The sequence below is a fragment of the Homo sapiens genome, chromosome 20, assembly GCF_000001405.40.
Source record: "Homo sapiens chromosome 20, GRCh38.p14 Primary Assembly".
Classification (NCBI taxonomy): Eukaryota; Metazoa; Chordata; class Mammalia; order Primates; family Hominidae; genus Homo; species Homo sapiens.
In genome coordinates, this window is record NC_000020.11 from 3565670 (window position 1) to 3579647 (window position 13978).

At 40.7% G+C, this 13978-nt stretch overlaps 1 protein-coding gene across 4 annotated transcripts in view; it reads left to right on the forward strand.

Moving 5' to 3' along the window:
• ATRN (attractin) overlaps nt 1-13978 on the forward strand; it is a 180101-nt gene that overhangs the window by 94652 nt on the left and 71471 nt on the right. For all 4 annotated transcript variants that reach the window (NM_139321.3, NM_001323332.2, NM_139322.4 and 1 more), the window contains exons 12-15: nt 7062-7282; nt 10158-10279; nt 11190-11328; nt 12913-13103. In NM_139321.3, coding sequence (NP_647537.1) covers nt 7062-7282; nt 10158-10279; nt 11190-11328; nt 12913-13103 — 673 coding nt within the window. The remainder of the gene's footprint in view (nt 1-7061; nt 7283-10157; nt 10280-11189; nt 11329-12912; nt 13104-13978) is intronic.

Here is a 13978-nt window from a genome sequence, read left to right on the forward strand (position 1 = left end):
GCAGGAGAATCGCTTGAACGAGGGATGCTGAGGCAGGAGAATCACTTGAACCAGGGAGTTGGAGGTTGCCGTGAGACGAGATCGCGCCACAGCACTCCAGCCTGGCAACAGAGCAAGACTCTGTCTCAAAAAAAAAAAAAAAAAAAAAAAAGAGAAAAGTAAAGTGGAATTGGACTCAACATATTATTCACAAGATTCCCTCATCCCAGTAGTTTTTTTACAGGATTATGTGGGTATAAATTTTCTGATTTATGTTTAAAATATTTGATGTGGAGGTGAATTACTTTGAATGCCATGTTTATTGATCTGGTTTTGTTAGCACGCAAGAGCATGCTTTTTGGTGTGGTCTGAGTGCCTGGGGCAACAAAAGTTACGTGCATGTCATTGTCTTATGTCCTTTGTTATTGTTAGTGGTATTTAGGTTGTCAAGTTCCTAGTAGTTGTATCTGAATAGTAAGAAGTTTGGAAAAGAGGAGAGAGGGCACTTCAGATGGGGGGATAAGGTAGGAGAACAGAGGTGGAGAGATTGTGAAGTTTAATATAGCTCAAGTCTGTAGGCTCTGGATAATCAGAAGTCTGCAGTTCATTGCATTTTATCGCTCAAAAATGCCTGGCCCAAACTACCAGAGCTCTTCAAAAAATCGGCCCTTGGAGAAGTCTCAGTCAAATAAGGGAGATTCAGAGTGGCCACTCTACTTGTTCCTTACAGTGTGCTTTAAAGATTTTTAAGAAGTTAAACAGCCTAATCACATTATTAATTTTTCTCATTCAGTTTCTGCTATTACTACTGCTGTCTACTTTCCCTTTTTTAAAATTCTAAGCCATATAAATCCTAAGGATGTTTAAGCGTTATAATGCCTGCATCATGTTAGAATTCCTTTGGCTTTTGAAATTTCTGTTGTAACGATGGAAGACAGATGAGGTAATTTCACTTAGATTAGGAAAGATGAGAGGCCGGGCACGGTGGCTCACGCCTGTAATCCCAGCACTTTGGGAGGCCGAGGAGGGCCGATCACTTGAGCCCAGGAGTTCCAGACCACCCTGGTCAACATGGCAAAACCCCCGTCTCTTCCTAAAATACAAAACAATTAGCCAGGTGTGGTGGTAGGCACCTGTAGTCCCAGCTACTTGGGAGGCTGAGGCAGGAGAATCACTTGAACCCAGGAGGCGGAAATTGCAGTGAGCCAAGATTATGCCACTGCATTCCAGCCTGGGCGACAGCGAGACTCCATCTCAAAAAAAAAAAAAAAAAAAAGGAAAAGTGAGAAGGTGACATATTTTGGAGATGTTGTGAAGGAAGAGTTGAGACAATTTAGGAACTAGCTACTAGGAAAAGGTGCTATCTTATATAAGGTAATTATTTCGTTTTTTAGCAATGTGTATGGTTTTACTATGAGAACATTTGACAGCTAGAGACTAAAATGGAAGGATTTCTGGCCACCTTGCTAATTTGAAGTGTTATTATAAATCATAATCTTGAACTTCCTCAGTACAGAAGACCCTTAAAGCTTTCTAGCAAGTGCCTCTTGAGATTTTCATCTGAAACGCAGTGGGACCATTTTGTCATTATCATGCCTGTGGGAGCCTGGCCTCAACTGTCTTCGTTTGTGTTCCTAGTTCTCCTAGCACAGGATTTGGCACATAATAGACATTTGCTAAATGGCAGGTATTAGTACAGTCATAACTAGCAAACAAATGAATTTTTTATAAAACATTCTTAGGTTTTATTCAAACTCAGAGAAGTTGAGACTTTACCATAAAATATAATTTAATCATGAGTCAAAATTGGGAATGCCTTGCCTGAGTTGTAATGTTTTCATTTTATGTGATTCCAGTGGTATGTTTGAACCCTGATATGTAAGTATCTGTGTGTGTGAGACAGGATTGGGTAGGTGGCAGGAGACCCTGAGGGAGGCCAGCTACTAAAAGGCCATAGTTTTGGTTTAATTTTATGAAATAATTTACTGAAAAAGAAACTTCGATTCACAGCATTTCTTCATGCTTTAAGTGGATCAACAGCATTGGGTGAGCTGTGCCTTCCTTGGTTTTCATTGAGGTTTTGAGGGAGGCAGGAAGGAGGAGGAGAGATGGCTGTGACATACCAAGGCGGCAGGAGATGCAGCTGTGCCTCTCAGTTGCCTGCTCCATGTGTCTCTGAGAGACTCTCCCTAACTTTGCAGAGCCCCTGTGCAACCAGATGGATTCACAATTGCTGAGAACACCAACTGTACTGGGAAGAGGAGGTTGCTTATTTGGTTTAAGCAACAAATTAACTAGTTGAATCTAGCCTGCTTAATGTGGTACTGAGTAAGCCTATAGCAAGGTAAAAAATGAAACCTGGCCGGGCGTAGTGGCTCACGCTTGTAATCCCAGCACTTTGGGAGGCCGAGGCGGGTGGATCACGAGGTCAGGAGATCAAGACTATCCTGGCTAACACTGTGAAACTCCATCTCTACTAAAAGTACAAAAAAATTAGCTGGGCGTGGTGGCGGGCGCATGTAGTCCCAGCTTCTCGGGAGGCTGAGGCAGGAGAATGATGTGAACCCCAGGAGGTGGAGCTTGCAGTGAGCTGAGATCGCGCCACTGCACTCCAGCCTGGGCAACAGAGCGAGACTGTGTCAAAAAAAAAAAAAAGAGAAAGAAACCTTATATTAATTTTTTAGTTTTTGAAATCTACCAGTAAATATTTCAGATTAGGCCAGGCATGGTGGCTCATGCCTGTTATCCCAGCACTTTGGGAGGCTAAGGCAGGAGGATCACTTGAGCCCAGGAGTTTGAGGCTGCAGTGAGCTATGATGACGCCACTGCACTCCAGCCTGGGTGACAGAGTGAGACCCTAACTCAAAAAAAATATATTTCAGATAACAATTTGTTTTCATTTTTCACAACTCTATAAAGTAACTATAAACACTGAATTCTTGAATATTGAATTATTGCTCCTAGGGGAAATACAGGGTTATGTTTCTATAAACCTCTGATGACATTTTCATCAACCAGTCAGCATACATAACTTTCTTTTATGTGTGTTTCTATTTAAAAACATCTTGTTGAATATATATTCTTGATTTATTAACATTGAGCTCACAGCCAACAGCACTTTAACTCATGCCTGAACAAAGCTTATGTAACACACGTATTTTCTCAGTAAGGCTCGTCACAGCCTTCTTACACTTAGGAACACTAGACAGCACTTCAGCACTGCATAGGGGGCCATTTTCAGCAGTGAAAGCACTAACATAAGGCACAAAAATGCATAAAACATGGCACTAGATACATCATGGAAGGGACACTTGTTTGTAGTATGATAGTTGAAACAAGAAGGGAGAGCATCTCCTTGTTTGACCTTAGCCGGTAATATGCATGTGTGTCAACTCAAATTTTTTGCCATTCTTTGCACACACATGCTGGTAAATGACCATGAAACTACTGCAAGTATTGATTTTGGAATTAGAAATAGATTTTATAAGTACGTGAATTTGCAAATATGGAATCTACAATCTGCAGATATGGTCATGTGTCACTGAATGATAGGGATACATTCTGAGAAGTGCATCCTTAGGCAATTTCATCATTGTGCCAACATCACAGAGTGTACTTACATAAACTTAGGCTACACATCTAGGCTATATGGTATGGCTTGTTGCTCCTAGCTACAAGCCTGTGCAGCATGTTACTATACTCAATACTGTAGGTCATTGTAATGCAATGTAAGTATTTGTGTGTCCAAGCATATCTAAACATAGAGAAGGTACAGTAAAAATGCAATATAAAAGATAAAAAAATGTACACCTGTACAGGCCACTTACTATGAAGAGAGGGAGCATACAGGACTGGAAATTGTTCTGGGGAGGTCTGTGAGTGAGTAGACTGTACACTACTGTAGACTTTGTGAACTGTACACTTAGGCTACACTAAATTTATTTTAAAATTGTTTTCTTCAATAATAAATTAACCTTAGATTACTAGATGACAACCATTGTACATGCCATCCATCATTGATGGAAACATCGTTATGCAGGACCACATACATGACTATAATGAGGATTGGCTGTCTTTTAAAGATGAAGACTTAATTTTTAAAACACAACCCCTATGCAGTTATTACACTTTTATTCTTTAAGCCAGGGGTGGTGGCTCACGCCTGTAATCCCAGCGCTTTGGGAGGCCAAGGCAGGAGGATTGCTTGAGTCCAGGAGTTCAACACCAGCCTGGGCAACACAGCAAGACCTCATCTCTACTAGAAATACAAAAATTAGCTGGTCATGGTGGTGCGTGCCTGTTGTCCCAACTACTCAGGAGGTTGAGGTGGGAGGATTGCTTGAGCCCAGGAATTTGAGGTTGCACTGAGCTATGATGGTGCTGTTGCACTCCAGTCTGAGTAATGGAGCAAGACTCTAACTCAAAAAAAAAAAAAAAGTTGTTCTTTAATATCTCTCAGTGTCCATTCAGTGTTTACATCTCCTAATTGTCTCAATTTTTTTTTTAAGTTTAGTTTGTTCAACTCAGAATCCAAATAAGATCCATATGTTACAATTGGTTAAAATGTCTCTGAAGTTTCTCTTGATCTGTAGGGACCCCATCCATCATTTTCCCCCTTACTTGTTAAAGAGACTGGGTTGTTTGTCCTGTAGAGTTTCCCGTAGTCCAGATTTTGATTATTGTATCCTGGGCTTTCATATAACATATTGGTCTCTCTCCTAAACTTCCTACAAATTAACTTGATCAGATTCACTTCAGTATTTTGGCAAGATCACTTCATAGGTTTATTTCTTTCCCTTTGTTTACCAATCTTCAAAATAATGTAGTGATTTCTTAGTATTGTCCAAAGATGACAAATTAGGTTGTTTTTTTTTTTCAGGGGATGGGAGATGTGTATCATTATGAACTCATGGATTTAAAAATATTTCATGTGTTTTAATCTATTGTAGTTTGTGTTTTTATTAAATTTCAAACATTTTCCATCTTTAGCCAGTGAGGGCATCTTTACATTAGCTTTTGAGTTTATCTGATACTACCCTCGTTTTCTTTTCTTCCCAGTATAACAAGATCTGCTAGACTCATTGTGAACATTTCTTCATCCAGACATGAAATTAGGTTTTTCTCTAAAAAGTTCTAGTTTTTAAGGGGTGACAGGAGGGAGAAAGAATGGTTTTTAAATACGCACAATCTAAGCACTAGTTGTATTCATTGCTCCTGGGTTGGCTGTTGTTTCTAGGTTTTTTAAGAAGGCAGGTTAAAGAGAAACTGTGGTGTTCTTCTTTTTAAAAAGGAAAATGAATTATTTGTGCACGTTTGTGTGTTTGACCTTCTAGTTCCCTCAATAGATAAATGGCTACATTGTTTGAATACTTTTCTCTGCGTTCCATTTTTTCCCCCACATAGCAGTATATACTGGTGCTCACTCCATAGAAGTATGTAGAAATTTTCCTCATTCCTTTTACATCTGCCTAATATTTCATTATGTGGATGTATTATAGTTTGTCACATCCCCAATTGATGGACATTTGGGGCTGTTTGAGTCTTTTGCTATTATTAACCCATTTATGCCTAGTGTTCCATTATTGGAACGCTAAGCTTGTGGGAGTTATTTATATCCTGCTGCTCAAGGTCATCCCCAAGGTCTGATTTTTCACAAAAAAATTTGCCCTCTGGCATAAGTGGGTTAATGCTGTAGTGAATAGCCTCATGTACTTCTTTTTGTATTTTTGCTATTCTATCTTTGTGCTAGACTTCTAGAAATGTGATTTCAGGTTCAAAAAGTAAATGCAAAGTTTTGTTAGAGCTTGCCAAATCCCTCTGTAGGCTGCATCATTTTACATGCCCAGCAGTAGTGTGTGAGAGTGCCTTTTGCCCCATAGTCTCACCAATCCATATATTGTCAATTTTTTGTGCTTTTTTTTTTTTTTTGCTAGTCTTATAGGTGAGAAATGCTACCTCAGTATAGTTTTAATTTGCATTTTTCTTACACTGAAATTAGAGCATCTTCTCATATGTTTAAGGTCATTTGCATTTTTTTCTCTGCAAACTGGCTGAAGCCCCGCTCTATGTTAGGGATAGTCCTTTTCCTATAACATAACTTGTAAATCTTTTTTTCATAGCATATCATTTGTTTTTTTACTTTGCTTATAGCATTATTTCCATGTAAAACGTCTTTTTAATTCATATGACCAGATTTTTCAATCTTCTTTTCCCCTACCTTCTGGATTTTAAGTCAGTTTTTTTTCACTCTTAGGTTATAGAGAAATTCACCCATTCTTCTACTGCTTGTGTGTTTTGTTTTTCTCAGAAGATGCTCTAATCCATGTGGAAATTATCCCAGAATGTAGAGAAATAGATTCAATTTTATTTTTTTCCATATGTTTAGTTATCTTGATACCATTTACTAAAAAGAACATCTTTTCCCACTAATGTAAGATGCCACTTTTACTGTGTACTAAATGTACATGTGTGCTTTTATCTGTTTATGATTGGGCTCATATTCATGTACCAGTATGACACAACTTTAATTACAGAGGCTTTTACCTGTGCTTTAAATTTGTACATTTTTATTTTTAATATTTAAAAAATGAAGATATAGAATTGCTGTTTAGCATTAAAAGATGTGAGCATATCCTGACACTAAAATTTTCCAGTGACTCATGGTTAAAAGTCAGCAGGCTATCATGAGAACTTTTTAATACAGTAGCTATGACGAGGAGGCAGATTATTGGAACTATTCTGGGTGTGTTATAGGCCAGGATGAAAGGATGGAATTTGGAAAGGAAGGGAATCATAATGTTTTTTAAGACCTTGAAAAATAATTTCTTAGAAGACTTATGATATGTAAGATTTGTTTGAAGATTGTCTGTAAAAAGTGTATCATGGTAGCTGGATGTGGTGGTGTGTGCCTGTAGTCCCAGCTACTCAGGAGGCTGAGGCGAGAGGATCTCTTGAGCCCAGGAGTTTGAGACTAGCCTGGGCAACAGAGTAAGACCCTGTCTCTTAAAAAAAAAAAAAAAAGTATAGCATCCAATTGTTATCTGAGTCTCTAGTAAATTTCTTCTCTCCCTTTTTCCTCTTAGCACCATGTATGTGTTCGGTGGTTTCAATAGTCTCCTCCTCAGCGACATCCTGGTATTCACCTCGGAACAGTGTGATGCGCATCGGAGTGAAGCCGCTTGTTTAGCAGCAGGACCTGGTATTCGGTGTGTGTGGAACACAGGGTCGTCTCAGTGTATCTCGTGGGCGCTGGCAACTGATGAACAAGAAGAAAAGTTAAAATCAGAATGTTTTTCCAAAAGAAGTATGTTTTTTTTTCTCTACTTAGATTTTAATGAATTTGAGACCTCATTTTATCTGAATTGTGAAGGAACTTAGCATATGTATACTTTTTATGTTTACCTTATCCAAAATTATTCAGTAATAACTTGTACAAAGTGTTTTTGGATATTTGATAATTGGTTTGTAAACATCTCGGATGGGAACATGCCATGTGGCTCCTAGAAGCTGTCTGCGAGTGATAGAGACATAACCGTTTTGGCATTGCATAGGCTTTGCATACTGACCCCAGATTCTGGCTGCAGTTGCTCTGAGGCAGTGCCATCCAGTAGAACTTTATTTTTGATGATGGAAATGTTGTGTGTCTGGACTGTCCCGATATGGTAGCCACTAGCCACATGGGCTATCAGATACTTGAAATGTAGCTAGTGTGAGTGAAGAACTGAATTTTTAATTTAATTTAATTTTAATTTAAAAGACATTTGTGGTTACTGGCTACCATATTGGATGCAGATCTAACATTAAGGATGAAGTTAGGAGAGTCAGCCCAGAAAAGCCATGTTGAAGTAAATTTTTTTGGTGGAGGGAGGGAGAGCTGCTGTCCTTGCAAAGTATTTTTGTCTAGCGTCTCTAGTTGGATACAACAGTGATATCAAGACAGACAGTTACTGAGGATGGGCGATGATCCCTGCTTCTAGAACCTCCCCCATGTTTTTCAAGCTGTTTCCGTCCTTCTGCCTGCTTTGCTTCTTGTCCTATATTGCTGTGACATAGAGCACAATGCGGTACAGTGAAGCGATATATTAAAAATTTATTTTTTGTTTTATTTTATTTTATTTATTTATTTATTTATTTATTTTGAGACAGAGTCTCTGTCGCTCAGGCTGGAGTACAGCAGCGTGATCTCAGCTCACTACAACCTCCACCTCCCAGGTTCAAGTGATTCTTATACAGTCACCTGCCACCATGCTCGGCTAGTTTTTGTATTTTTAGTAGAGATGGGGTTTTACCATGTTGGCCAGGCTGGTCTGGAACTCCTGACCTCAAGTGATCTGCCCGCCTCAGCCTCGCAAAGTGTTGGAATTACAGGCGTGAGCTACTGTACATGGCCAGAAAGTTCTTTAAAAGTAAGAATGTTGTCTCTACATCAATTAATTTAAAGTATGTTGGCTGAATTTCTTACTAGTAGGATTGGTGTTGCAGTTAACTTGAGAGTTATGATGGATAGAAGCAGCTTTCATTCCTGGGATGCTGCTCCAAGTTAAACTTTTCACGAATATAAATTCTCAGTAAGAACACCCAGGGCCAGCCACAGGGGCTCATGCCGGTAATCCCAGCACTTTGGGAGGCTGAGGTATGGGGATCACTTGAGCCCAGGAGTCTAAGACTAGCCTGGGCAACATAGTGAGACCCTGTCTCTACCAAAAACACAAAAATTAGCCAGGCATGGGCATGGTGGTGCACGCCTATAGTCCCAGCTACTAGGGTGGCTGAGGCAAGAGGGCTTGAGCCCAGGACGTTGAGGCTGCAGTGAGGCATGAGTGTGCCAGTGCACTCCAGCCTGGGTGACAGAATGAGATTCTGTCTCAAAAACAAAAAAACAGGCCACCCAGGCAACCCACTCAGGTTCATTGGTGGGCTGGTGGGTGCTGGAGAACCAAGATTACCAGAACTTAGCAGGGTTAGCTTGTCTCTTGAAAGGGATAAAATCAGTGAAATAGTTAATTTTTAAACCAAATTTTAAAAGTTCAAATTAAATATGCATGTTTATAGGAAATAGTGTTGAATTACCTTAGGTGTTCATATCAACCCATTTGCTGTCATCTCACCTGAGACTTCAGTTCCCTGTTTCACCCCACTTTCTGGGTGGGCCCAGTCCTTGGGATAATGACCAGGACAGGAAGAGCAGCCTAAGGAGCCGACTGCTGGGGTCTTTGTGAGAGCGGCACCTGCCTTTTCCTGTTTGTGAATTCCCCCATGTGCCATGTCCACGAGATGGTTGAACAGATGAGACAACATGGTTGTGCAGCTTCTCTCTTTTTTTTTTTTCAGACAGAGTCTCACTCTGTAGCCCAGGCTGGAGTGCAGTGGCGCAATTTCAGCTCACTGCAACCTCCGCCTCCCAGGTCCTGATTCAAGCAGTTCTCCTGCCTCAGCCTCCTGAGTAGCTGGGATTACAGGAACGCGCCACTATGCCCAGCTAATTTTTCTAGGTTTAGTAGAGACGGGGTTTCACCATGTTGACCAGGCTGGTCTTGAATTCCTGACCTTGTGATCCGCCCGCCTCGGCCTCCCGAAGTGCTGAGATTACAGGCATGAGCCACCGCATCCGGCCATGCAGCTTCTCTTTTCTAGAGTTAACAGGAGATGCGGCAGGTCTGTAGTAGCCCAGAAATTCTCAGACTTGCACTCTTGAATTTACACGCATGTACAAAATGCAGCTCAGCCTAATGCCTCCTGTTCAGTTCTGTGGTGCTGCCTACTTCCTGTGCCCAAATTAGCCTTGCGTTTATAACTAGGAGGAATGACTTGGTGTCCTACAATATTTTGGCTCCTGGGCTTCTTTGGTGTTCATTCTATTACTAGTTGATTTTTTTTTTCTTGGAAAGAAAAGTATTCAAAGAGCCAGAATTTACTTTCATTATATCTTACAGTTGTTAAATTAACCTATCCTTGTTTTCACTTTCTGTGTACTTCTTTCTTTGGGGTACAAAACAGTGTTTCTTTAGATTGTCTATTTCTAAATATTATTTTAACCAGAACATACCAAATATATTTTCCTGCCAGTTTCATTCTTCATTTTACTTCTTAACCATTGTTACGATTTTTTTTTTAACTTCGGTCTCAGATTTTGCTCAATTGAAGTTGTCCCAGTTCATGAGATTTTGTTTTCTTTGCAGCTCTTGACCATGACAGATGTGACCAGCACACAGATTGTTACAGCTGCACAGCCAACACCAATGACTGCCACTGGTGCAATGACCATTGTGTCCCCAGGAACCACAGCTGCTCAGAAGGCCAGGTCAGAGGCTGTTTCTTAAAGATTTCAGAAAAATCCCAATTTGTCATAGGTTTAGCTTTTATAGTGTATATGGTATAAATAATGGCCCAGAGTTACTTTTCAAATGGGTTTCTATTTGGATTTTATTATCCCTGAGGTTTTCCTTTAGGAAGAGATGTTCTGTATATTTCAAGGGTCCTACTAGCCCTGGGAATTTGTGTATTGTGTTTTAGAAGAAGGTAGGACTGTTGTCCCTGGGCATGGCTGTGACTAAGCACTGGATCCTTGGTTTGAGGCATCTGATAGTGACCTCACTTTACCAGTGCCAGGTTTTGATAAAGTTAGGGTTTGAGAGTGAGTCAGGTGTACAGCGGCCCATATTGAACTGTGGAAATGACAGACTTTGCAAAATCTCCTTGTTTTATATCTTGGTTTGGCATAATCTCACTGCTCATCATATATAGATTTTTAAATTTAAGTTATAAGATGACCCAGGCTTTTATAGTTTTTGACAGCTTACAAGACTTTTTTTTTTGTCAGTCTCATACAGTTCATAAAATAGAAAACTTTCAGACTTTTGAAGTGAGCATTTGAAAAGCACCAAGTTCAACATTCCCATTTTACAGATGAGCAGGTTGAGGCATGGTGTTTAAAAGAGTGGGCTGCTTCCTTGCCAGTTAAAAGCATGTCCTTGAGCAGAACATTCCATTGCAGTGTTCCCCACTGCAGAGCTACTGCAACTTATCTATCTATCTGTCTGTCTGTCTGTCTATCTATCTATCTATCTATCTATCTATCTATCTATCTGTCTATCTATTTATTTGCAGTTTGCTTCCTCAATTAGATTTTGTTGTCTATAATATCCTGTTGGTCCTCACCATAAGTTCTCTCTGTGGATACAAAAGAAAAGCTTTTGTCCACTGTGTTCTAGATCTCCATTTTTAGGTATGAGAATTGCCCCAAGGATAACCCCATGTACTACTGTAACAAGAAGACCAGCTGCAGGAGCTGTGCCCTGGACCAGAACTGCCAGTGGGAGCCCCGGAATCAGGAGTGCATTGCCCTGCCCGGTAGGCCTTGCAGGGTCATCTTGGTGTGTGTGGGTCCATTACTTCAGCCTGCTTCCCCCAACACTGTGCAGCCTAAGTTGAACCTAGCAGAGGGGAAGAGCTAATTCTGTCCATTCATCCCCCACACGAGTATTATGGGCTTTTTTGTTTTTAACTAAAATACAGTTCTTAAGTATTTGTTCCTACTGTCCTTTGAAATAAAGTGAAACATCCTTTGCTGCTCTGTAGAATTGAGTGACAGCTTGGTTCTGTATCACTGAGCCTGCTCCTTGTCTCTTTCCCATCCACCTTTGATAACCTGGGACTAGACCATGATGTCTCAGCAGTCAGTCTGCTGAGCACTTTATGGAGAGTACTTCTTATTAACCACTGGGATTTAATTGTTGGCACCTGCTAATGGGCCTTCTCTGAGAAGGAGAGGATAGATACTTCTGTCAGCAGCACCTTTTAGGGGTGATCTCCAGCCCTGAAAACCTCAATATATCCTGCTTCTGAGGTTCAGGATGATGAACTCAGGGCCTGAGACCAGCCAGCCATGTGATATATTTGGACCAGGGTGGTCCAGAAAGGGGAACTTCCTTGTCTGTGCACAACATCTGAGCTTGTTCAGGGAAGTTGGTTTGGACCAGGCCCTTTTTGAATGTCCCTTGGAAGTTTTTGATTCAGCTTGCAGAGTGGGACTCTTTTCTATATCTCAGTGTGTCTCAAATTTTAAGGTACAGGAAAAGACCTGGGAATCTTGCGAAAGGCATATTCTGGTGCAAGTGTGGGGTGGGGCCTAGAGTGTGCATTTTATCTAGTCGACTGCTACACTGTGAGGAGCAAGTCTTTGTCTGTTCTTAAATGATCTCTTTCCCATGGTACCTTTCTTTTATCTCAGTGACTGTTACTGTTAATGAACATTGTTGATGTCTCCAAAGTACTTTGGTTCTGGTGAAGTTGCTTTGTTCTTTCATTGTCTTCCAGGAAGCATTCATAGCTTCTGTGCAGTACCTTGTGTGGGTTCAGGATGATCACAGGTAGCAGATTACAAGCTTGTCTTGTATGCTATAGCCATATCACTTGGGTTGTTTCTCAAGAAGGACCTTCTCACCTTGCTTTTGGGATGCTTTGTACACTTGATTGTACCTTCCACCTGATGATATGAAAACAGTGCAGCTTTTGGAGACTATAGATTTGTTAATTCCTTGATTCATTTCCATTCTTGCAGTTTTTACCCCAGCCCTCCAATATGCATATTCATTTGTCTGCTCTTCACTTAGGATTTTAGTTTTCTAATTGTTCTTCAGAAGGAAGTGTACCAGTCTAATATTGGCACCAAACTGGTGTTTTCATCTAAGACATAGGATAAGTGACCTCAGAATATGCTTTTTAGGATCCGGGAGATATCACCAGTAAACATTTTAAAATTCTTGTATTCTGCATTTGGTCCTTAATAATGTGTCAGAGGCTCCCACATCCTAATGAAGTACCTAGAATTTAAATTAGAAAGGCCATTTCGGTATTCAGTAATTTGAACTCATAATACAGTAGTTTTGTCTGATTTCTAAAATTCTTTTCTTTCTCTTTTCCCCTTAATGAAAGAAAATATCTGTGGCATTGGCTGGCATTTGGTTGGAAACTCATGTTTGAAAATTACTACTGCCAAGGAGAATTATGACAATGCTAAATTGTTCTGTAGGAACCACAATGCCCTTTTGGCTTCTCTTACAACCCAGAAGAAGGTAGAATTTGTCCTTAAGCAGCTGCGAATAATGCAGTCATCTCAGAGCATGGTGAGTTAAAATCCTCAAAACTTAAGTTTCTGGTTATCCACCTTTCTACCAAGGGCATGACTGCAGCTTGCATGTGGAAGGCTGTGGATATGTGTGACGTGCTTGGCAAGAAGGGGAGTGCTGGTGAACGCAGCCTGAGGGACTGTGGGTTTGTGCTGTCAGAGTCTCTTCCTCTTAAAATTTTTAATACTTTGTATATATAAGATCTATGAATAATTATATGGGGGATGAATTGTAACATGTATATGTGTACATAATCTGGTGACATCAGTAGATTATTTCATACCTGTTTTACCTCTGGATTCTGCTAGGGGAGAAAGAGAGGTCACTGATAATTAGCTAGGTTGGATTAAGCCACCTGAGTTCCTTGGAGTTAAGGTATTATAATAGTGCATAAGACTGTATAATTACCACTAAGAAGTGTACATCTCAGCTGGATGTGGTGGCTCACACCTGTAATCCCAGCACTTTGGGAGGCTGAGGTGGGTGGATCGCCTGAGGTCAGGAGTTCAAGACCAGCCTGACCAATATAGTAAAACCCCGTCTCTACTAAAAATACAAAAATTAGCCAGGCATGGTGGTGTGCGCCTGTAATCCCAGCTACTCAGGAGGCCGAGGCAGGAGAATTGCTTGAACCCAGGAGGTGGAGGTGGCAGTGAGCTGAGATTGCGCCACCGCACTCCAGCCTGGGTGACAGAGCGATACTCCGTCTCAAAACAAAAAAAGAACAGCAAAAAAAAGAAATGTACATCTCCTTGGGTCTTTCATAGCCCAGCCATCTCAAAAGAAGAGAGCACCTTCTTGTCAAGAGTTTCTAAGCCCAGAAAGGCTCAAGTTCTCTGCTTGTCCACCCAGTGCTCTCAGGGGGCTTATAG